This window comes from Homo sapiens, chromosome 1 (genome assembly GCF_000001405.40).
Source record: "Homo sapiens chromosome 1, GRCh38.p14 Primary Assembly".
NCBI classification, from domain to species: Eukaryota; Metazoa; Chordata; class Mammalia; order Primates; family Hominidae; genus Homo; species Homo sapiens.
The window spans coordinates 167174503-167200767 of NC_000001.11; the positions used below are offsets into that span (position 1 = coordinate 167174503).

Here is a 26265-nt window from a genome sequence, read left to right on the forward strand (position 1 = left end):
GCAAGAACCGGGAGAAGAAACCACCAAAAAATTTGCCTAACCAGCTGACAAGTCACTGCCGTGGGGTGGCTCTGAGCTGTGCTGTGTCTCCCTCCTTCCTTGGCCATGGCCCCATCTTCCCCATGTGGTTGGACATTCTCACCACTGGGACGTCAGGAGGTATAGAGTTTAATTCAGGTTCTTCCACCAACTAGTTCTGTGGCTCCTGTTTAATCTCCAGAAGCTTCATCTGAATATTCCTTTCAGGGAAAGCACACCAGCTAGAGCCGTGGTGGGGAGAATGGCTTGATCTACATAACCCACTAGGTATTTTTTCAGATCTTAAAAGACTGAGAAACTGTCACAGCCAAGAGGAGCCTAAGCAGACATGACAACTAAGTAGAGTGTGGTAAACTGAATGGGATTCTGGGACAGAAAAGAGGCACTGGGGGAAACAGAAAATCTGAATGAAGTGCAGAACTCTGTTAATAAAAATTTCTCAAAATTGGTTCATTGATTGTGACAAATGTACCATACTAATGTTAGATGCCAATAATAGGGGACGCTTGATGTGGGGTATATGGGAACTCTCTGTGCTATCTTTACTATGTTTCTGTTAATCTAAAATACCCTTAAAAAAAAGTTTATTTAAAAACTGTGAGTTATCTTATAGTGTGGACTCAAAGATGAGGACATGGCCTCTGGAAGGGCCACATTTAAGATACCGCTGTGTGTGTGTGTGTGCATGCACATATATAAACAGATAAGTTTTCTATGATGAACATGTAATACTTTTGTAATGAAACAGTAATTTAAAATAAGTTGCATATTATACACTATTTGGAAGAAGAAAGGAGGTAAAGCAGCCATTTCAATTAATATGTTTATGAATTCGTTTATTGAATCTTTTATTTAACAACATGTACTAAGCTTGCATATAATTGGACAAGGCATTCTATGGCAAGAATGAGACAAACGAAGCCTGATTTTTTACAGGTGAGAAGCAGCTGTGGAGAGCTGATGCACAAGCCCACAGTAGGGTGAGCAAGCCTGGAGTAGGGTGACAACATGGAGGAGGGAGCGCCTGGCTCTGCCAGGAATCGGCCAAGGCTCAACAGTGTTTATGCCTTAAGACAAGAAAACAGCACGGAGTTGAGAGCTTAAGCTCTGGAACTGGGCAAGTTCTCTCAAAGCCTCATCGGGCTACTCTAAGAATTAAATTAAAACACTAACAAGCACAGAATAAGCTAGTTCCTGATATAGTAAGAGCTTATTATGTGCCAGGAACTGTTGTAAGTACTTTACATCTGTTAAACTCATCTAATCCTCACATCCAATCTATGAGGGAGACACTGTCATTACCCCTCATTCTAGAAAAGAGGGAGCTGAGGCACCGAGAAGATACCAATTTGTCCATGGATACCAGCTAGTTAATGGTGGAACCAGGGCAGAACCCAGGCAGTCCAGCTGCAGAGTCTGTAAACTGAACTCTCATCCCAGCCACATCTTTCAATGACTAACACAATTATCATTTTGAAGGGTGAGTAAAGGCCAGTAGGGAAGTGAGGTGATGAAAGCTTTTATAGATCTTACAACTTAATAGCCTAGACCTCAGGGGAGGTCTCACTGTGATGTAGATTTGAGGTCTTCAGCATATGGTGGAAGGTGAGGCCTCTGAGCTGATGAAATGGCCCAGGAGAGCACCCTGCCCAGTGCCAGCACAGGACATCTGGAGCTCTGAACAGAGTTCAATAGCAACTGTTTTAGCTCAGGTTGCTACAACAAAATGCCACAGACTGGGTGCTTTAAAAAACATATATGTATTTCTCACAGTTCTGGAGGCTGTGAAGTCCAGGATCAAGGTGCTGGCAGATCCAGTGTCTGATGAGGGCTCTCTTCCTGGTTTGCAGATGGCCATCTTCTTGTTCTATCTTCACATAGTGGAGAGCAGAGAGAGGAAGCAAGCTCTTGTGTTTCTTCTTATAAGGGCACTAATCCTTTACATGAGGTCTCCACCCTCATAACCTAATTACCTCCCAAAGTTCCCACCACATAATACCATCACATTGGGGATTAGAATTTCAACATATGTATTCTGGGGAGACAAAATCATGCAATCCATAATATTCTGCCCATGGCCCCCCCACACTTCATGTTCTTCTCACATGCAAAATACATTCATTCCATTCCGACAATCCCAAAAGCCTTAACTGGTTGCAGCATCAACTGTAAAGTCTGAAGTCCGAAGTCTCATTGAAATATTATCTAAATCAGGTTTGGGTGAGACTGAAGATGCAATTCATCCTGAGGCAAAATTCCTCTGCATCTGTGAACCTGTGAAACAAAACAAGTAATGTGCTTCAAAAGTGCAATATGGTTGGATAGTCAGAGGATAGACAGTCCCATTCCAGAAGGGAGAAGTTGGAGAGAAGGAAAAGGTGATGGGGCCTCACTAAGGCAAATCCCATGAGGTCTTAAGGCTTGAGAATAATCCTCTTTGGCTTGATGATCTGTCCTCCATGCCCACTGGGGTGGCAATATCACCTGCAAAGCTCTGGGAGGCACATTGTCATGGCTTCTTTTGAAGGCCCTCTACCCTGTTGAAACCTAGGGAATTGCCCGATGTTCTGTGAATCACCTTCGGGGGGCCTTCTTCCCATGTCCTTCCTTCCTTCCCTCCCTCCACGCCCTCCCTCCCTTCTTTCCTTCTTTCCTTCTTTCCTTCTTTCCTTCCTTCCTTCCTTTCCTTCCTTCCTTCCTTCTTTCCTTCCCTCCCTCCCTTGTCCCTTCCTGTTTTCTCTGTTTCTGTTAGTCCCAGCTGGCAGTGTTTCTGCTGGTATAATCTCATCTCTATTCTTGATGTTTTTTTGAGATGGCTGATTAAGTCCATGATTCACATCTGCACTAATCTCCTTATTAAAATGTCAGTTTGCCACCTCCTTAGTGTTTTCTTCTGAACATACTTTCTCACTTTTGTGTTATGAAAAGGCTGAGAATTTTCCAAATCTTTAAGTTCTGGTTCCTGTTTGCTTAACAATTCTGTCCTTAAGTCATTTCTTTCCTCTTGCATTTTACCACAAGAAGTCAGGACACACCATGCCTCTCCTTCAACATTTTACTTAAAAATCTGCTCAGCTAAATATCCAGGATCATTGCTTGCAAGTTCTACATTCCACAAAACAATAGAATTTGAACACAATTCAGCCAAGCTCTTTGCTACTCTATAACAAAGATGGGCTTTTCTTCATTGTCCTATGTGCTCCTCATTTCCATCTGAGACCTCATCAGAATGGCCTTTACCATACATATTTCAACCAATATTGTGCTCATGATAACTTACATATTCTCCAAAAAATACGTTTTCTCTACAGGTCTCCCCTCTCCTTGTGAACCTCCAACAGACCTCCCTTTAGCCGTCCCTTTGCAGCAATATTGGGTTTTTCTAGCATGTACCTCAAAAGTCTTCCAGCATCTACCCATTACCCAGTTCCACAGCTACTTCCACATGTTCAGGTGTTTGTTACAGCAGCACCCCACTTCTCAGTACCAATTTCTGTCTTAATCAGTTTGGGCTACTATAACAATTTGCTATAGAATGGATGGCTTAAACAATAAACATCTATGTCTCACAGTTCTGGAGGCTGAGAAGTCCAAGATCAAGGTGCTGGCAGATCCAGTGTCTGGGGAGGGCCCAAGAAGTGCTTGGGTTGTAGATGGCCACCCTCCCTTGTATCCTCAGATGGTGGAGAGCAGAGTGAGATCAAGCTCTCTCATGTCTCTTCTTAGAAGAGGGCTCCACCTTCATGACCTAATTACCGCCTAAAGACTCCACATTCTAATACCATCACATTGGAGGTTAAGATTTTGACACACGAATTTGGGCAGGGACACACATGTGCAGTCTATAACAGGAACCATCTACTATAATTTGTTTCCGAGGGAAGGAGCAGAAACCTATCACTTTTGAGCGACTATGATGTGCCAGGCCTTGTTCAAAAACTCAATGGCAGGTAAGATGATACTCGATTTCCTGATAAGTAACCTGCAGCTCTGAGAGTTGAAGTAAGTTTCCCAGTTGCAAGCTGGTCAATGTAAGATCAGGAAATCCCAGGGCTGTGTGTGCTCTTTCTTCCACACTGCACCCATCACAGGTGAGCCAGGCCGTTGGAGCAGCCCTCTGAGGGTAGCACCTGAGAGGAGACGTGGTCCTGGTGAACACACATGCGAGGCCCTTCCAGCAAGGGCCTAGCTGCTGGAACTGTAAAGCACAGTGGGCCCTGGCCCCTTCCTGACCATCAGGCCCCATCATTTGTATTGCCCTCCATGGTGTTGGCCCAGGCTCCAGCCATAGGATGATGGTCTCTGGGTAATTTCTGAGATTTCAGGTCATTTTTTTTTCTTTTTTTCGTTCTTATTGGTATTCTGGGTTTTCTTCAGTGAATATAATAGAAATAATAAGTAAAGAAAGATCCTGCTCCTCTAGAAAGCAGATGAACATGTAAACAGGTAACTATTGCACAAGATGGAGCCAAACACAGAAAGCAGAGGACTGTGTCAGTTCAAAGAGAAAAGTGATTCATTCTGCCTGTAGAAATCAAAGATTCAAGGAGGAGGTGACTGTTCTGGGCATTAAAAAATGAATAGGATTTTGATGTATAAAAAGTCTCCTGGACTGTGGGAATAGACTTGAACTAAGGCCCAGAGTCATGCTAGGGTATGACAGGTCAGAAAGCAAAAGTTGTAGAGGGAGACTGAGCTAGCCAGCCCATAATATGGCCTTAGGAACTCCTACCTCCTGGTATTCGCACGTTTCTATAGTCCTCTCCCACACGGTATCAGGGTTGGTCTGTGCAACCAGTGGAACACAGTAGAAGGGATGGTGTGCCACTTCTGAAATAAGTTATAGAAGACACTCCAGCTTCCATCTTGGTCACTGTCTCCTATGCCTTATTTGTCTTGGATCACTCACCCTATGAAGAGACCCACGTATTGAGGGACTGAAGTTTCAGCAGCACATGAGTGACCTTCGAAATGGATCCTCCATCACCTTCAGATGACTGCAGCCCTGGATCACAACTTCACCACAACCTTGAGAGTGACCCTCACCTTGAACCTCCCAGCCAAGCTGTTCTCAGGTACCCAGAAACCATGTGAAATGATAAATGTTTATTGTTTTAAGCTGCTAAATTTGGGGGTAATAGGTTATGCAGCAAGAGATAACTAAGATAGATGTAGTGGAAGCTAAAGCTGAAGAGAAATTTGAAGCCAAATCATAATCAGCCTTGAATGCCCTGTCAAGAAATGTGGACTGACCTGTCAGCAATAGGGACCTGTTAGAGATGATCAAGGACCAAAGCACTGAAATATGCGTTAGACAGGATCTCTGAAGGCTGTGTGAGGGAGGAACTGGAGACACGTCAGGATGCTCATACAGCAGGCTAGATGAGAAAAAACAAGGGCCTGGCCGGGCATGGTGGCTCAGACCTGTAATCCCAGCACTCTGGGAGGCCGAGGCAGCCAGAGGCAGATTGCTTGAGCTCATGAGTTTGAGACCAACCTGGGCAAGATGGCAAAACCCTGTCTTTGCAAAACATACAAAAAGTAGGCTGGTGTGGTGGTGTGCACCTGTAGTCCCAGGTACTTGGGAGGCTGTGGTGGGAGGATGGCTTGAGCCTGGGAGGTGGAGGTTTCAGTCAGCCAAGATTGTGGCACTGCACTCCAGCCTGGGTGACAGAGCCAGACCTTGTCTCAAAACAAAAAACAGAACAAACAAACAAAAAAATCCACAAAAAGCGAGGGCCTGGACTGAGCAGTGCCAAAGGGAAGAGAGAGGAGGTGGCAGTTAGTAGATACATTGGAGTTAGAATTTCTGGGACTTGTTTACTGATTGAATTGGGGGTCTGAGAGGGTGGGGGAGGTGTTAGACTCTGAAATGTGCAAAACAGACTCTCACTCAAATGCACCAAACAAGGGGAACGATGACAGAGGAGAAGCCATAAACCAGGCCCTCCGCAAGCGCTATTCAGGCACTGGAAGAAGTGCTATTAGGAGGTTGCCTTGCCACCCGTCAGCAGCAGCACGCCATTGGTCTTCTATCTGCTATTGCTCTGTAGCTTGCTACTAAGGACTTCTCTTGTCTCACAACTTGCTTCCCCTTTGCTTTTGCAGACTTGTGGCACGTGATTTTATATCTGCCTCTCATCTTTCCTCTATGTGTCTTTTAACTTCTACTCCCCACTGGCTAATCGACTTGCTCTCTGCATCTCTAGTTGGAACTTTGAGAGGGAAGGTCTTGACAATTCAGTTTATATCCATTGTCTCTGTGAGGCAACAGTCTCAGTAATTTGGCTGCCAGTGCTTCGAGTCCAGTCAGCTGTGGACAGGGAGGCAAGGTCACTTTGTCTAAGCAGGGCACCCTGGCTAGAAGAAATGTTTTGGGGAAGGGCTGCAGGCATGATAGGCTTTTTGAGGCTGAGCCTACATGGAAGCTGTCAGAAAGGACTGCAAAGTTTCTAGCCTGGGTCCCTATAAGAGAGGTTAAAGGAAATTGGCAATGAAGGATGAGAAGCCAGTTGGCTTGGTGGATGGAGAGGTTTGAGGTACATGTAGGAGAGAAAGACATACATGGAGGGAGATACCCAGAGGAAGCTTCAAATTCAGGTCTGGAATTCAACTGAGGTCAGACCTGGGGAAGAAGATTTAGAGAAGAGCACCAGAATGATCACAGAAGTTATAAGAATGAGGTGCCCTGGACACGGGGAGATAAAATTCAGTCCCCTCTGGGGATAGGAGGGCAAAGGAATAACTGGACTGATTCTTTGTCTTTCTCCACAGAAGGCCAGCTAACTTCCAAAATTACCCCAGGATTCATCATATCAAGGGGCAAATGGCTTCCTGTTTCTCTCTGTGTCCTCTCAGGGCATTAGTGTCTGGCCCTCTCTCAAGGTACCTGAATGCTGGGAGCCTGAATCTGACAATGCCCATTGCACCTCACAAATCAGCTTGAGACAATGCTCACATATGTTCCCCCTGCTTCATATGTCTCGGTTATACTTGAGTAACGCTCATATACTTTTACCCCATTTTGTATCTCTCAGTTATACTTGAATAACGCTCATATACTTTTCCCATTTCGTATCTCTCAGTTGTACTTGAGTAACACTCATACATTTTTCCCATTTCGTATCTCTCAGTTGTTACTCAGTTGAGTAACACTCATATACTTTTCCCCTGTTTTGTATCTCTCTGTTATACCTTGAGTAATGCTCATATACTTTTCCCCTACCTTGCATCTCTTAATTAGAAAAATGCCACACATGGTGTTCCAGGCTACTCTCTCAAGAGATTATGTAAGTAATGACTCCTAAACTGGGAAAAGACATACAACTCTGCAGATGAGTTTGAACTCTTTTCTCCTCCCTTCCTCCAGGTGGTTCCTTTCCAAAGATGATATAATTAGCAATAAAGTCAATAAAATCTGGATTTTTTTCTAACTCATCCAAAAACTGTTACCCAGCATGTAGAATAGCTATTAGCAGTCATTGAGCAATGCCCACTCACCCTTTGGAAGGCACTTTTATTTTCTGGTCTCAGCAGCCCAGGAAGAATGACTGTTGGTAGTCATGGGCCTAGTTTAAGAGCAGAGCCACTGGATGCACACCACGTGTGCTCATCAGATCACAGAAGCAGTCATTCTCAGACACAAGGGCCTGCTGAAAGAGAGGACAGGGCAGGATGCTCAGGACAGGACTGTCGAATCTCTAGTTCCCTCTTCCCTGCAGTTACTATCCACATATACATCAGATATCTCTTCTACCTCCAGTAATCCCCCCATTAATGCATATCTTTAAAAAAAAGATACAATTTGAATTTAACTTGGAATATGGATGATCTGTAGCTATATTAGCCAAAATAGGCTAGGTTATGCTGTGGTAGTAGACCACCCCAAAATCTCAAGGACTTACAACCACAAAAACTTATTTCTTGCTCATGCGCCACATTCATCTAGGATCAGCTATGGTTGCACTCCATGTTGCCTTTATTCTAGGACCCAAATTCATAAAGCAATCTCTGCGTGGAGCATAACAGGTATCATTTTAGAAGTGAAAGAGAACTTGGGAAAACACAAGTTGGCTCTTAATGTTTTCACATTGTGGGAAGCAACACATATTACTTATACTCATGGTATTAGCTACCTATTGCTGTATAACAAATCACTTCAAAATGTAGTCATTTATTATCTCACAGTTTCTGTGGGTCAGGAATTCAGGCTGCATGGCTCTGGTTCAAGATCTCTCATGAGATTGTAGCTGAGGCTGCCTCATCTGAAGGCTTGTCTAGGGCTGGAATATCTACTTTCAAAGTAGCTCATTCATAAGGCTGGCAAGTTGTTGCTGGTTACTGGCTGGGGCTTCAGTTGCTCTCCATGTTTGTCTTTTCATGGAGTTGTTTTAGTGTCCTCATACTATAGTTCATGACTTTCCCAGACCAATGATCCTAAATGGGAAGTCAGAAGCTTTGTATAACTTTATCTTTGAAATCACATATTGTCACTCCTGCCATACTCTATTGACCACAGGGCCATCCCTGACTCAGTGTAGAAGGGGGTTACACTAGGGCATGAATGCCTGAAGAAGAGGATCCCTAGGGGCCATTTGGTGACCTCACTCACATTTCTTTGGCCAAAGTAAGTCCTGTGACCAAACCTGACTTCAGTGAAATGGCAATGCACAACCCTCCTATGGAAAGGAAACTGAAGTATTTAGCCAGCTGAAATACCATCTATCATAATGGCTTATAGATGAAGACTCTTTAACACATCACTAGCCCAAAGAGCTTTCTTTTTCCTGTTACTTCTTCTCAAAGTTCTTGCCTCCACCAATAGCACAGCCCAATTATGCTCAATTTTCTTCAATGGGCTCAGGGACCACTTCAATGAAATGAAGGAGATTAAAGATCACTGGTATGATGACACTTAAGTCTCTTCCAGTAAGTCAAGGTTTTGAGAAAGTGTGCTAAGATCAGCTATGTCTGTGTAGAACAGTTGCACACTTTTAGCAGAGCCTCAAGGTAGAGCCTCGGGAGCTAGAAATAGACCCAAGTCAGACTTCAGGCAATGTGTTGGTCAGAAGCTGGTCAAGAGCAGTGAGGCAGAGACCTCAGGGTACAGAGCAGGAAAAAGCAGCAAATCAAACACCAGGAGAACAAAAAGGTGGAACCAGGAGGACATAAGCCTTGAAGGCCAAGCCAAGTCCAATGTTCTTGTGTCATATCAGGAAGTCAAGAGTCAAGGAGGCCAAGAACCAGAGATTCACAGCACCACAGAGACCTCGGTTCTGAGATAAATTCCCATCTCAGTTCTTAGAACCATATTGTCCTTGACCTTATCTTCTAGATGTGTCCCATTCACATTCAGTATAGCCCAAGTATATTTACTGAAACCAAGATTGTGATTTCTACAATTGTTACTACAAAATTGATTTCTATAATTGTTATCACAATACAAAGTTCCGTCTACCATGAGTGCTCAATAAATGTTTATTGATAGTTAACTATTGCCATCCATTCCCATATAATAAAATATATGGGAAAATGTAGCTGTTCAGCATTATCAGGTATCTAGGTCCCGAGAGTTTTGAGTTTCCCTCAGTAACCAAAACAGATGACCTCATTAATGAAAGGAAACTTGAAGAGGCAGGTTAAAGATGGCTAATAATTTTTTGACATTCCTTCTGTAAAGAGATGGGGTTTATTTCTCTTCTCCTTAAATCAGGGAAAGCCTGGCTGTTTTGATCAACAGAGCATGGTGGAAGTCATGCTCGGCCAGTTCAGGTCTTGCCTGCATATACAATAACAGCTTCAAAAAAGTAACCAGATCTACAACTAAGTGACCCCTGCTCTGGCTGAGCAACAGCTCACACACTCCAGAAGTGCATATTAGAAGATACAATGCTTATTTAAGTATTGGAAATCACATTACCATCTAAAGCTCCTGCCTTTATGAGGTATTTGGAGTGTTTTAAGTTAAGAGGGCTGTGATTACAACTGTCTTTAATGTTATTAGCCCCAAGATCTGAGGGTCCACTCACTCATCTGGGCACTTCTGTCATATTACAAAGAAGCTTCATAGACAGCTCTTTCAGCAGTAATGTTCCTTCACCACCATGTAATAAAAGGAAATTAGACAATTGTAATTCCCACATGGAATTTAACCAAGAGGCTCCAGAGTCTCTTACTCCCAACCTACTACCTCAATTCCAGAGAGGATATGGGGGCATGGTGGGAAACTTTTGGACTATAACATAGGATAATCTAATTTGGAAGTTGGTATCTGTTTGAGATCATTTTTTTCTTCCCCTTTTCTTTTTCAACTTCTTGGTAAAGAAGAGATACTTTTTCAACAGCCAAGCAACTGATTCTACCTGACACTGCCAACCCCAACTCAGGCATGGCCCATCCCTGATGGTGGTCTCTCATGGTGGTTCCCAAACTCTGATTCTCAGACAGGTGCTGGGCTGGCTGCATCAGAATCCCCTGGGGAGCTTGTAATGTGGTCTCCAGGCTGCACCTGAGAAGTCTCTGATTGTCCAGGTCTGGGGTCATCCAGAGGATGTATATTTTCCCCCAAGGCTCTCCAGATGATTCTGATGCACAGCCAGGTCTGGAAACCACTGGTTTAGGTGAACATTGGTTCATTTCAATAAATCAAAACCACATGCCAAGACCATATGTTGCTACTGATATATATCAAACCCACTGACACACAGAAGAGTCAATAGTAGTTATGCTAATGCTTAGTAACAATGCTACCCTTTGACTAGGAAGAAGACAACAAACACCCACAACCTTTATTAGTGACTGTGTGTATGTAACAGAAGTTTAAGCAAAAAAAAAAAAGGTGATTTATTATAAGGAAACAAGAGGCTGGGCGCAGTGGCTCATGGCTATAATCTCGGTACTTTGGGAGGCCAAGGTGGGCGGATCATGAGGTCAGGAGTTTGAGGCCAACATGGTGAAACCCCGTCTCTACTAAAATTACCAAAATTAGCTGGGTGTGGTGGCAGGCACGTGTAATCCCAGCTACTCGGGAGGCGGAGGCAGGAGAATTGCTTGAACCTGGGAGGTGGAGGTTGCAGTGAACCGAGATCGCACCACTGCACTCCAGCCTGGGCGACAAGAGCAAGTCTCCATCTCGGGGGGAAAAAGAAAAATTAGCCAGGCATGGTGGCGGGCACCTGTAGTCCCAGCTACCCGGGAGGCCGAGGCAGGAGAATTGCTTGAACCTGGGAGGCGGAGGTTGCAGTGAGCCGAGACCACACCACTGCACTCCAGCCTGGTGACAGAGTGAGACTCCATCTCAAAAAGCAAATAAATAAATAAATAAATAAATAAATAATAAGAAAACATGGCTATCTTACAGAAACCAAGGTCCAGAGCTACATACCAGAAGAAAAAACTAGAATAAAAACTATGCTGTCAGGACCCAGGTCTCTCTTTCTACCACTTTTTAGTTTGTTTTTTGTTGGTTGGTTGTTTTTTAATCTCTGCTTTTGTCATCACCACTCTTTTATTTTATATCTGCAATGTGGCTGTCTCCGCTTCCCTGGACACGTGTACCAAACACAGCGTCCTCAGCCCCTGGTTTGCCATACTTTCTTGTCCTTGTTTCCAACAAGGACAGTCTAGAGACTGGCTGGAGCAGCCAGAGAATGCAAACTGGTGTGCTACAGCAGACATGGCCTGCAACTGTGTTTGCTTTGGACGACACGAATTTTTTTCAAATATAAAATAATTATTTTGAGATTTCATATGAAAACATGAATTCTGGACTTCTGTAAATATCAGAAAAACTGGCAAACTGGGATTACATGTGACAGCAATCGGCTGGAGTTGAATGATGGCCACCTCCTTGGCACAGAGCCTGTGCTCTCCAGTTTGCCACTATCTCTATTGTATCTATCTTGGCTCAGGCTGCTCTAACAAGAATACTGCAGACTGGGTGGTGCAAACAAGAAACATTTATTTCTCACAGTTCTGGAGGCTGGGATGTCTGAGACCAGGGTGCCAGCATGGTTGGTTTCTGGTGAGGGCTGTCTTTCTGGTTCTCTCACATGGCAAAGAATAGAGAGAGGAAGGAATTTCTTTCATGTCTTTTCTTACAAGGTCACTAATTCTATCATGAGGTCTCTACCCTCGTGAGCTAATTACCTCCTAAAGGTCCCATCTCCAGAAACCATCACATTATGGGTTAGGATTTCAACATATGAATTTTGGGGAGTGCTATGGTCTCAAAAACTCATGTGGAAATTTAATTGCCAGAGTAACGGTATTAAGAAGTGATTAGGAATGGATTAATGTCATTATCACAGGAGCAGTTAGTTATTGTGGGAATGGGTTCCTGATAAAAGGATACATTCTGGCCCCCATCCTTTCTTTGTCTTACACGCTTGTTTGCCCTTCTGCCTTCTGCCCTTCACCATGGGATTATGCAGCACAAAGGCCCTCACCAGATGCCAGCACCATCTGGACTTCCCAGCCTCCAGAACCATGAGCCAAATAAGCTTCTATTTTTTATAAATCACCTAGTCTGTGGTATTCTGTTATAGCAGCACAAAATGAACTAAGCCAGGGAAACACAAACATCCAGTTCATAGCAGGATCCCAGACCCCAAGATCATGGATCAGATGCTGTCTACCATAGCAGTTGTGCTATTGGTTTCCTTATACCTGTATCAGTCATTATGTTACACTCTAGACCCTTGCAAGCATTTTAATTAGCAACTCCACTGAATTTTCTAAGTGTACATTCTAAACTTCCAGAAGAAAATTAGATTGACCCAGCTTGATCATGTATCTGCCCCTGGTCCAAGCAGCTCAGCCATGATAGGATGCATGTAGCTCAGGACCCACTCAGTAGAAACTATGGGAGCAGAAATTCTGAGATGGGAGTGAGGGCAAGTTCTCCAAGAAGACAGTATGGGGAGGGAGGAAATCATTGACGATGGCTCTTGTATACCTGCCATTGGTTTCACTTTTAGGATTCATGCTCTTATCCTTCCATATTTTATCTAGGCATAGATAAGCCTTCTATGACCAAGCCACAAACATTTTGTGCAAGATAGGCAACAGAGTTTATGGGTGTAATCTGAGTTGGTGGACGGTGCAGAGGTCTGAATGGGTTTTTTATTTTGTTTTGTTTTGTTTTAAGAGATGCTATGGTGTAAGCTCTGCAAAGGCAAGAATTTTTGTAAGCTTGGTTTTCTGATTGATCTCAAGCACCAAGAATAGTGTCTAATCCACAGATGTGCCCTATACACATTGAGTGAGCAAGTGAATCAATGAACTGAATCTCTGTCATATGCTGAAGAGCCACGGTTTTCAGCTGGGAGTCCCTCTTTGAATTACTTGGAATGTTTTGTTTTGTTTTGTTTTGTTTTTTTGAGACGGAGTTTCACTCTTGTTGCCCGGGCTAGAGTGCAATGGTGAGATCTCAGCTCACCAAAACCTCCACCTCCTGGATTCAAGCAATTCTCCTGCCTCAGCCTCCCAAGTAGCTGGGATTACAGGCACACGCCACCACGCCTGGCTAATTTTGTATTTTTAGTAGAGATGGGGTTTCTCCATGTTGGTCAGGTTGGTCTCGAACTCCCGACCTCAGGTGATCTGCTGGCCTCGGCCTCCCAAAGTGCTGGGATTACAGGCGTGAGCCACCGCACCCAGTTGAAAGTTTTTAAAAGTACAGACTTGCCGGGTACAGTGGCTCACGCCTGTAATCCTAGAACTTGAGGACTTTGGGAGGCCGAAATGGGTGGATTGCCTGAGTTTAGGAGCTAGAGACCAGCCTGGGCAACGTGGTGAAACTCTATCTATACTAACATACAAAAAATTAATTGGGTGTGGTGGCATGCACCCGTAGTCCCAGTTACTTGGGAGGCTGAGCCGCAAGAATTGCTTGAACCTGGGAGGCAAAGGTTGTTGAGAGCCAAGATTGTACCACTGCACTCTAGCCTGGGGAACAGAGTGAGACTCTGTCTCAAAAAAAAAAAAAAAAAAAGAAGTACAGACTCCTTTCCATAGGTAGGGCCAAGGAGTCTACATTTTTGGAAAAGCATACTAGGAGATTTTGATGAACAGGGATTGTTTTTAAAAACAAATAAACAAACAACAAAAATACTAAGATCTTCGCATGGTCTCAGATTCTTTAACAAAATTCTCTGAAATAATTAAAGAACAAGGGGAAGGGAGAAAGGCAGAGGAAAAATGGATAAATGGAAAAATTGAAAACAAAGGAAATAGAGGAAAACATTTTGAAACTTTTCAAATATGTTAAAAGCATTTCTAGCTAATGTTACTTACTTAGCACAAGCTGAATTAGCACAAATTGGATTTAAAATACCTTTGAAAACAATTTGTACAATTTTCATTGTGAAAAATCAAGCAGCCACTTTATAATTTGGAAAAATTTCATTTTCAGGTAGTCATCATGTTATAATAATTGTCTAAGAATGGCTACCAAGATTATGTATTGACTTTTCTCTTGAACATTTGTATAGGGGGTATTAAACTTTAAATAAGTATGAATTGATACTCAGGCTAAAAAAATTAATCTGCCCTAAGTTAGTCTCCTGCTGTTTGTACAAAGGCAAAAAACTGCCTGCTCCCGCATGGGTGTCATCATGGCAGAGCACATTTTCAAATGATGCTGGTGAATCCACAATGTAGTACATACTGATCACATGAGCCTCAGAGCATGGCCTCTCAACGGTCATTGGCATTCTCAGGCAGTGATCAAAATCAAGTTATACAATACACTATGCAGTTTATTCTGAGCACAGCCAATGGTTAGGTTTCAATTTCATTAAAATAAATACGTAAGGACAACCAGTGCTGGAAGTTGGTAGTGTTTTACCTCACTTTCAGTAAACTTTACCCCACATCCACGAGGGTGGGTGAACTAGTGCTTAGACAGAACAGAAAGTTAACAAGATGCTGAGAAGTGGAGTCTGTACCACAAGACCCCAAAATGAAATCCAAAGGTGGTGAGCAGGCAACTGATAGCAGCAACAAGCTGGAGAGATGGCAGTGATTACAGGACTTTCTAAGGGTCAAAAGCAATGACCCAGCACCTCAGGAATTACCTTACTATCTGCCCCATTTCTCATATTATTTGTAAGTGCCAGCCAGCTAGAACCCTATACCCAGAAACATATCCCAAAAGGAAGCCAGGAAGGTCTTTTTTTTTTTTTTTTTTTTTTTTTTTGAGACACAGTCTTGCTCTGTCACCCAGGCTGGAGTGCAGTGGTGCGCTCTTGACTCACTGCAAACTCCGGCTCACTGCAACCTCCACCTTCCGAGTTCAAGTGATTCTCCTGCTCAGCCTCCCAAGTACCTGGAATTACAGGTGCACGCCACCACACCCAGCTAATTTTTGTATTTTTAGTAGAGACAGGGTTTTAGCATGTTGGCCAGGCTGGTCTTGAACTCCTGACCTCGCGTGATCTGCCCACCTTGGCCTCCCAAAGTGCTGGGATTACAGGTGTGATCTACCACGCCCAGCCAGGAAGGTCTCTTGAAGCTTCTCTGGCTCTATGGGCTGCTCAGTGGGCTTTCTGCCTTAGCCACCCCCATCCTACCATGCTTCTTTCTAGGGGACTCATCTTACATTCCATGGGGTGAGGGTGGGGTCTGCTTTTTTGCATTCTTTATTTTCTAGTTGAATTCTTTGCTTTCCTTTCCTTAGACCTGGGTTTTTCTCTAGCTGTATTCTCCCAGGTCAGGTCAGATATGGAGCTTGGACAACATATAAGGGTGCTTCTAGATTACTAGGAGGAACACTGTAAACATGGGAAGTCCTAAAATCCTCTCCCCAGAGATGTGGTTTGGAAGAAAGCTCAACAATCTGTGCATGTCATAAGTGCTGCAAGAAATTCTAGTGCCGGTGGTCCATGGGCCACCTGTGAGACCCCCCAGAGCACCTCTCACTGCTGAACTCCCAGAAAATCCCCCTGGCCCTCTTTTGCATCATTTCTCCCAACATGGGACAGCAGCTTGGCAGGATCTAGGTTACATGACAAACATTTAGTGAACAGCCCCACTTGGGCCAGGCAGTCACTCCTCTGGGACCCTATGACTCCTGCCTTTCCCCTCTCCTTCCTTTTACCATTCCCCCATTTTTGCTTCTCACTTCTGGCTCCTTTGCTCTCGCTGCCTACCTGAACTCTCTGAAGCCGCTGAACTTCTGAGGCTGGGAGTCCTCTTCTCTAAACTTCCCTTTCCTTAGCTGAGTGGGGACCTAGCCCCAGTAAATGGGATCCTGGCTCTGATACGTTTTGGCTGTGTCCCCACCCAAATCTCATCTTGAACTGCAACTCCCACAATTCCCACGTGTCATGGGAGGAACCCAGTGAGAGGTGATTTAGTTATGCGGGTGGGTCTTTCCTGAACTGTTCTCATGAGAGTGAATGAATCTCACGAGAGCTGATGGTTTAAGAAAATGGAAGTTTGCCAGCACAAGCTCTCTGTTTTTGCCGCCACCATCCATGTAAGACACGACTTGCCCCTCCCTGCCTTTTACCTTCCACCATGATTGTGAGGCCTCCCTAGCCACGTGGAACTGTAAGTCCAATAAATCTCCTTCTTCTGTAAATTGCCCAGTCTTGGGAATGTCTTTACCAGCAGCGTGAAAACGGACTAATATAGGCTCCAAAGCTTCAATCAAAAAGAAGGGAAGGTATGTGATTTGGCAGCCCAAGTAACTTCGGAGAATTAAAACGAATCTGACCCAAGAAGGAGTTTTGTATTTCCTAATTTAAAACAAAAATTTCTCCTTAAGTCTTACACTTTCTGAAAGTAATTCATTTGGGACATTGCTAGCATAGGACTGATACCTTGTACTAGAGAAAGAAAGATGAATTCAAGTCAGAAAGTTAGCATGCAAAGTCCAGTATGTGTGCAACCAGATCAGAAAGGGATATTTGATGGGATACATATGAAAGCAATGGTTAGAGAAAAATAAACCACTTCATGTTCATAGGGTTAATATTACTCAATAAACAAGTTAAAATTGGTGAGAGATTTCCTATATATTTAAGTGCAACAGCAAACTGCAGAACCATACGTACATCTATATTTATATAGAGAGTCAGCATTTGTGTATTAATAAAAAAGCCTATGCCCCTATGTATGTACATATTTGCTTCCTTTTGTATAAAGTGTCTCTGGAAAGACATACAAAACAGGTAGTAACAGTTGCTTCTGAAGAAGGTAACTGGGTAGCTGGGAAACTTACTTTCAAAATATCATTTTGTAGCTTTTGCATGTTGTATCATATGACTATTTTATCTATTCAGCAAATTTAAAATTAAAAAATCACCCTCTGCAAGTCCCTTCAGATTTTATTTTTCTAAGTCCAGATACAGCATTTTAAACATATTCCTGGATTTGAACACTAAAGACAAAAATGGAATTATGATAGTGAGGCCACAAAGGAGACTCAGGAACAACCTGTGGGTGTTAGGTTTAAAAATCTGGACAGAGTCTTTCTTTCCTGTGTGGATGATAGTTTTTTGTGATAGCTGAACACACCCCCTCAGGGAGAATGTAAGAGATGTTGACTGGTACTCAGAGAGAATGCCAGTTGCTGAGCATTCCACATTCCAACAAAAGTTCCCAACACTTCTCTCAGGCTCACCAGACTGGCTCTGCTATCCCCGAACCTAATGCCAACATCCTTCTTCCTAAGGCTGATAGGCAGTAGAGAGAGTTGGATGCACTGGGAGTGCAAACCAGAAGTCATCCTGTCCCACTGGTGATAGTTACCTGGTCAGCTCTACAGTCCAGGTGGTCTCTTGGTCCCCACCTTGACTTCTCTCCTCTCACTGTCAGGCCACAGGTACCACATCACATAACCTGTGACATCTCTGTTCTAGAAAGCAGAAACTGTGCCCTGTTCACTTTATCCCTAGCCCCCAGCATAGTGCCTGGCCCACTGTGGTACCGACTGTAATGATTGTTGGATGAATGAATGCCCCAACAAGTGAATAAACAAATGAATAAATGGCATTAAGCTCTTTACTGTCCAAAGTTCCAAGCCAAAAGAGATGTTTTCCTCTAAGGTGATAAGTGTCTCTATATCCAGCATATCCAGTGTTTGTTGACAGGGCCTCTCAGCCTTCACAGCACCTTGTGCAAATTAGGAAAGCACATGCCTCCAGGCAGATGTACCCATAAGCCATAGCTTGGTGGCAGAAGGAGCCTCTGAGAGAAGGTAAAAGTGCCTTTCTCTGGGAAGACGGCCTGGATTGCTGCATTCAGGTTAGATTTCCAGACTCATTCACCCCTAGGCTGGGCATCTCTATGCAGAACCCCAACCACACAACCTTGAGCAGCTACAGAATTCCTTCCCTTTACCTCACTTCTGTTATGCCATCTCCATCTCCTCCTCCACTGGTATTTACTCCCCCACATCTCTTCCCCATCCCCTTTACCCAAGGGGCCCCTCCCAGGCTATCTCTACTCCATGTCTCTTACTCTCTTCCCTTCTCAATCTCTCATCGAGATTTTTTTCTTTCCATATTTCCTGGCTGCTCATCCTTTCTTTCATCAGCACATACTGTGATTCACACGTTTTCTCATTCTTCTCTTGTGGTACCATATTGAAAAAGAGTTTGTTTATCCCATTTAACAGAAAATAAACTAAGACTCAAGCAGTTTATATAACTTGATGAGATCACACAAGCTTTAAGGAACAAAGTTAGTAATTTAATCCAAATTGAGGTGACATCAAACACAAAGTTCTGACTTCTGCTTCTGGCTATAATTGAATAACAGGAACCAGATTTTATCCTGCTGCCTAAAACAGTAACAAAAAGAGGGATGAGATATATGAAACAGTAGTTTCAGGACACTGGGTATCAGGTAACAAAGGATAGTGATCCTGCAGAGACAGAAAATAAAATTAATGAGCCCTACAATTACCCTAGTTTACTGCCTTGACACATTTTCCAAGCTATGGCTCAGGGAAGGGAAACTGAGGCAGAGACTGGTGATCTCATTGAGTTGAGGACACAAAACTAAGAGTCTGGGGAGACCAAAGCAGTCTAAGTTGAGAGGACAGAATATGAGACAGGAGAGAGGTGCACAGAAAGAGAATCTCAGAGCTCTGCAGAGAAAATACTGATCCAAATGCTGAATATGGGGAAGGAACCAACTTTAAGAGGAGGTTTTAAAGGACACAGTGCCTGGTTTAACACAGGGCCAGAAATTGTGCCTGAATTGTGTTTTTTCAGTCAGATTTTAAAAACTTAATTCATTTGACATTGGGTGGAGTATTCAGGAAGAAGGTCTTGCCTCAGTAGTGGAGAGTATTTAGCCCTAGGCTGAGCACTGCCCTGTTTCCACCTAACAAATCATAAAAGCAAGACCAAAAGGATGAAACTATTTCCAAGTAACTGCATTCCTTCCATTCCTTCTTCTGCTTCTTCTTTGTCTTTTCTTTTTCTTGGTTTTTTTTTTTTTTTTTTTTTTTGAGACAGGGTGTCACTCTGGTCTCCCAGGCTGAGGGCAGTAGCTCAATCACAGCTCACTGCAACCTCTGCCTCCCAGGCTCAAGCTATCCTCCCACCTCAGCCTCCTGAGTAGCTGGGACCACAGGTGCACACTACCACACCTGGCATGTATATAAATTTTTTTGGCGGGGGAGAGATGGGGTTTCACCATATTGCCCAGGCTGGTCTCAAACTCTTGGGCTTAAGTGATCCACCTACCTCAGCCTCCCAAAGCACTAGGATTACAGCGGGGAGCCACCATGCCTGGCCTGCATCTCTTCTTGAGAAACAAAGCTTAAGAAGATTTATTGTAATATAAAAATATCTATCACCCAACGATATGTAATTCACAATGTCTGGCATCCAGTCAAAGATAACTAGGCAGGCAAAAAAGCAAGAAATCATGACTCAGATTAAAGAGAATAATTAATCAATTAAAGTTGACTTTCCCAACTCAGAACACACACAGATGTTAAAACTAGCAGAAAAGGACATGGAAACACATGTTGTAAGTGCTCGGTAAATGTTAGCTTTCATTATTATTTCATTTTTTCCCTCAAAAATGTTTACCTCAAAGAAGAGATTATCATCCACACTGACAAAAAGTAAAACTGTGTTGGCCAGGTGCAGTGACTCACGCCTGTAATCCCAGCACTTTGGAAGGCCGAGGTGGGTGGATCACGAGGTCAAGAGATCAAGACCATCCTGGCCAACATGGTAAAACCCCGTCTCTACTAAAAATACAAAAATTAGCTGGGCGTGGTGGCCCGTGCCTGTAGTCCCAGCTACTCAGGAGGCTGAGGCAGGAGAATCACCTGAACCCGGGAGGTGGAGGCTGCAGTGAGCCAAGATGGTGTACACTGCACTCCAGCCTGGTGATAAAGCGAGACTCTGTCTCAAAAACAAAACAAAACAAAACACAACAAAACTGTGTCTCAGAGTGGTGGAGTGGCCTAACCAAGTTCCCAAAGGAAGCTACCTGCAGAAGAGCGACTAGAATTAGTTTCTTCATTTACATATTGTGTCACTTACCTATGAGCTCTAGTTGAAAGGTCTTTACATCCCTGGGTACTGCTAGCATCCAGGAAGTTGAGCAGAAGCAGCAATTCAGAGCCAGTTACTATAATCAGGCTGAAGGGGAAAAACAAAACAGAAACACAAAGAGAAAGAGAATATTTAGCTTAAAATATTGATTTGTATGATTAGAAGGGTGGAATAAGAACAAATTACTTTAACCCATTACAATAAGACCCATAACTGAAAGCATTATACATATGGAAATATATAAAATCATTAGAGTTAATTTATTTTGACCATGTATTTTGGGGGGGAAGAGTCAGGTATAGATGTAAAAATTCATGCCCACTAGCCCCTGTTGGGTCACTGGAAATATGCTAGATGGATTACACCTTAGTCTTTTTTTTTTTTTTTTTTTTTTTTTTTTTTTTTGAGACGGAGTCTCGCTCTGTCGCCCAGGCTGGAGTGCAGTGGCGGGATCTCGGCTCACTGCAAGCTCCGCCTCCCGGGTTCACGCCATTCTCCTGCCTCAGCCTCCCGAGTAGCTGGGACTACAGGCGCCCGCCACTACGCCCGGCTAATTTTTTGTATTTTTAGTAGAGACGGGATTTCACCGTTTTAGCTGGGATGGTCTCGATCTCCTGACCTCGTGATCCGCCCGCCTCGGCCTCCCAAAGTGCAGGGTGATCCAATTTTGCTAAGCAAGAAGTCAGGACACATTCAGGCTCTTCCGTTGCCTGGAATGCCAAGATCTATTTCTGGTGCACATAATGAACTCCTGCTCATCCTTTAAAACCCAGCCCAGGTGTCACTCCTTCTTGGAAGCCTTTCTGGCCACGGTCCCACCTCCAGACTAAATGAAGTTAATCACTGTCCCTTATGATTCCCTGTGGTTGGAACATATTTTGATTGTTACACATGAATCACTAAATTGTAATTATTGTTTAATTTGTAAGATCCTTGAGGGCAGGGATTATGACATATTCATCTCCAGGTCCCTTTGGCCTAATTTAGGGACTGACGTGTCATAGCCAGTAAATGTTGGTTGGATTGGATTGAATGGTAATAAAGAGCATTTTCTTACTTGTGAATTCAATTCTATGAAGTCTTGCAGATACATAAAATGACTTCCCATTTGTTATACATTTAACAAATTGCCTTTATTAAAAACATTAAAATTACATGAAATCAGGGTGCCCTGGAACATCCTAGACATATGGCCATATGGCTTCCAAACAGCATAATACCAGCAGCTTGGATTTATCTAATTTGACAAAGTGAGGTACTCATTGGCATTTGAAAGAAATGTCAAACAAAACCACAGGGGGTTGGAGGGGAGTTGTTTAAATTAATTTCAGTTGCCAAAGGGAAGTGATTCACTTCCAAGTGATTTGTTTTGACTCTGATATTATTCTCCTAGCACAGATCTCATCTTATATCTTCTAGTAATTGGTTTAATACCTTTGGGTGTTATTTGGCCCTTTTTCACATTTTGCACTGAACAACTCACTTTTAAAAGATAACAAAACACTTATAAGCACTTGCTAATTAAAGAACTAGATTCTCCTAGTGTTTACATTAGGTTCTTAGGAAAATTAGGAGAACTATTAGAAGAGCATTACTTCATGAAAGGTAAAAAATTATAGGAGTTAAACCAATGTGGATGATGAGAGGACAGGGGATGGTGGTGAGAATTTAATCTTTCTAAGCTGGAGAAATAACAACTGCAGCATTAGAGCATTTCATTGATTTATTTGTTCATTCCACAAACATATACTGAGGCTCACCAAAAATATTACAATGTTATGGTGCACCACAGAGCCCCCCAGAAAGGGCTTGAAAGGATGTCTCAACAGCTTGGAAAATTAAATGTCCTTCTTTAAAAACTCAGCTGAATGCTGTCACTCCTTTTGGTGGCTGAGGCATAAAACAAATTATACGAGGGGTCTTACAAGTTTGGCTAATACAAAATTTAATCCCAGGTGAATTGGATTAACCCTGACATTATTTCCCTAATTGAGTATATCACAGCAGACAGAACTCAACAAGAAGCCCAGATATTATCAAGATTTGTGTGTGCAGCATTCAAACCTAAGTTTGTTTTGTTTTGCTTTGTGTTGTTTTTTAACCAGCTGTACGCTTTAGTACGACAAAAATAGGCATGTAAAGGTTTAGAATCTGGCTCCTTCTGGATTTCACCCTTTGTTTTCAAAAACCTCAGAAGCAGATAATTGACCGTGGGTGTTCATCTGAACCAACAAGCTATCAGTATTAAACAACATTAATTTTGTGTCTTTTATGTCTATGAGGCAATAGGATGCCAAAATGTATAAGTTATGGTTCCTATTTCACTGGGCATGTAGACTCTCAAAGAATGAAGTATGTGCATAAGAAAATAAATGACATCAGAGGTGCAGGCAAGATGCAAAATACAATACAGACTGTAAGTTCATGGATGGGGATCCTGGTTGGAGAAAGAGGGGAAGGAGAACTTGACAAAGGCCTTGAATTTAGGAGACTTATGGAGAAAAGTGGGAGGATGGGAGGGTACAGTATGGGTAACAGCAGGAAGGAGGAAATATAAGTAGTGTTGGAGAACAATGAATACACTGGTTTTGTGAGAGTGGTAGGTTAGCATAGAACAGAGGTTAGAAACTAGAGCCTAATGCCCACTTTTGGGCGGTATAACATGTATTATTTGGCCTGAACTTAGTGTGAACATTAAAACACTGGTAGCATTCACATGAAAATCTGGATCCCTGATAATATCTTAAAAATGAGGATGTTGGTAGCAATGGGCCTACGTGCCCAGGAGGAGGCAATAATCACTTGAAGCTGAGTCACTACTATACCCTTTAGATGACAGTGAGTGTTCCATGCTGATGTGGTCCCCAGCTGGCCCCTTCACTCTTGTACCTCCCCTGTCCCATGCTTACAAGTATTTATTGGTCAGCTTTTGCTAGGTTACGCTGTCGTGACAAACACTCCTAAAATTTCAGTTGCTTCCTACTCACTACAAAGTTCTATTTCTACCTCTTATGTATCAGCTGCAGTTGGCTGTGCCTGTGCTCTGTATGTCTTCTCCACTCTGGCATCCAGGCCGCAGGGGCAGCCCCTGCCTAGGATGGACCATTCTCATGACCAAAGGGGAAAGAATAATGGCAGAACTGTGAGAATGACTCTTAAAACCTTTGTCAGACATGGCACATGTTACTTCCACTGACAGCACATCTGGCCAAAGCATGTTATATGCCAAACCTGATGTCAGTGGCCTGGGAAAACATAATCACAGAGAGATTCAGTGACTAATTGGAAATACATAATACAATCTTCAACAGTATTTGAATTTATTCCTCTCCTGATGAGAAAACATTTTGGAGTGAGGTAGGAGTAAAAACCAGAGGGCCTTGAATGCCAGCCACAAGGCTCTGTGACCGACAGCAAAGTTCCACATGCACATAAAACAAACAAAAAAACCCAAGGCAGGTGTGAATCTGGGAAACGGGGCTTTCACTGTATACAGCCTTACAAGAAGCATGCAACTGAACGTGACAGAGGCTGATAGAGGAGGAGGAAAGGGTTAGATCCCTCTGCTCCTGTCTTTATTTACAGCAAAGGGTAGAACACTTTGTCACCTTGGAAACAACCAACAAAGGCAGTGTGTAAAGCTGTAAGAAATCCCTGTCTGCTCTCTCAGAGGTGACTCGGGCTAAGTAGTGGGGTGGGGTATCCTGCCACCAGACTGCCCTGGGTCCTGGGTATTGTGTAGTCAGGCAGATGGCTCCAGCTGGAAGAAAAAGCTGTTTGGCCTTTGATGGTCACAGCTGACTACATAATATGTACCTTCTTGTCTTTTGTATTCAAAGATAACACTGCTGACCAAGGAGAGTGTGACCATAGTATCTGAACCCGTGACCTACACTGGGGACAGTACAGTCTCTCCGCTGCATAGCTATTCTTTATAAGTCTCACTGCAAAGATTTTATAGTCTGTAAAATTCTTTGCAATGGTTTTTACTCTGAATAAGCCTTAACAATCTGGTGGATTTTACTATCATTCCCAAAAGCATCTATATGTCACTGCTTGCATTTGCATAGTTACTAATTTTCTCTTACCATTTTATACTAAGTTGCATAGACTCTGCACTAGGAAAATTCTTCAAGAAGCTGATGTGCTTCTATCTTAGACTGTGGACTCTAAATTAACTACAAGATTAGTCACAATCATTGCTGTATCAGCCTGAAGCCTTGGTGTGATATCTCATGTCATATTGATGCCACGCTGGCACTATTCAAAAAGTTCTTGGCCTTTGAAATAGAGTTTTGAGCTTCTTAGACCTTCCAGATATTATTATCAGTTAGCACACAGGTGAAGATAGCCCAGCATATCTTTAGCCCTATCTGTGTAACATATACATTCCATAATGCCTGCATGGCTGAGCCATTCCTACATGACTATTCAAATAAAATGTAAACTTTATTTGCATTTTACTATAGAAAACATCTCATTTTGTTTCAGATTAAACATTATCGAGCTCAAAACTTTATAGTCAATTCCAATCCATTTGAATACTAAACTTCAGAGTATTAACATGTCTCCATATATAACATGGTTTAATAGGAACGACAATAGATTAAAGGAAACCTGAGTTTGGGGCTCAGCTTAGCCATTTATTATGTGACCATACACAAGTCATTTACTCACTTGTATAAAGAATGGACTAGAAGAGATAAGAGACAGCAAATATTTGACAGATGTACCATCAGTCCTAACTCCTCTGACATGGCAGACGTGACTAATCATTCATGGCCCTGATTCTTACTGATCTTAGAATGATCTTCAAAACCCTCTTCAGTACAGAATTCCAGGCAGCCACTACCAGTCATTGGAGTTGGCACTCAAGTTGAAATTCACATATGAGTCCAGGTCAAAATAATCTACAATATATGGAGATAACATGTGAAAGCACTTTGCCAATTGTTCTATGTCATACAAATTTAAGATGTTATTGTTACTACTATTACATTAGCTATTGTTACAGAAAATTTGTGCAGATTATGTTTATTTATTTATTTATTTTTTATTTTTGAGACGGAGTCTTGCTCTGTCTACCAGGCTGCACTCCCCTCCTGGGTTCAGACAATTCTCCTGTCTCAGCCTCCTGAGCAGCTGGTATTATATTATGTTTAGACTATATGAAGTGCTGATGGTGACTTGTATCTTGCTATTTTGCCACCTATAATTGTTATTCTAACAGCATGTGTGAAGAGATTTGGCTCCCAGCCTTTTCTTAGGTGAGCATGCACTATGAAAGCAATTTCACAGTACTGAAAAGGACTATCTTGGACTGCCTAGGAAACTGTCAGGGAGACATACTGCCTTGAATTTGAAGCCTGGCCTCACCTTTTAATGTGTGAATGTTGGCCTGTCACTCAACCTCTCTGAGCCTGTTTCGTCGCCCATGAAGTGGACAGTATAACCAACCTCCTCTTGGGGTTGTTAAAAAAATTGAAATGTAGGCTGGGTGCAGTGGCTCTTGCCTGTAATCCCAGCACTTTGGGAGGCCAAGGTGAGTGGATCACGAAGTCAGGAGTTCAAGACCAGCCTGGCCAAGATGGTGAAACCCCGTCTCTACTAAAAATACAAAAAAAAAAAAAAAAAAATTAGCCAGGTGTGGTGGTGGGTGCCTGTAATCCCAGCTACTCAGGAGGCTGAAGCAGAGAAT

The 26265-nt window shown here is 42.9% G+C and overlaps 1 long non-coding RNA gene across 1 annotated transcript; it reads right to left on the bottom strand.

Moving 5' to 3' along the window:
• Nucleotides 1-859: 859 nt before the first annotated feature.
• Nucleotides 860-21303, bottom strand: LINC01363 (long intergenic non-protein coding RNA 1363). The gene is made up of 4 exons (NR_110811.1): nt 21155-21303; nt 20556-20654; nt 7540-7691; nt 860-2313 (listed from the first exon to the last, which is right to left on the bottom strand). It is a non-coding gene; the product is annotated as a long intergenic non-protein coding RNA 1363 (long non-coding RNA).
• Nucleotides 21304-26265: the final 4962 nt, after the last annotated feature.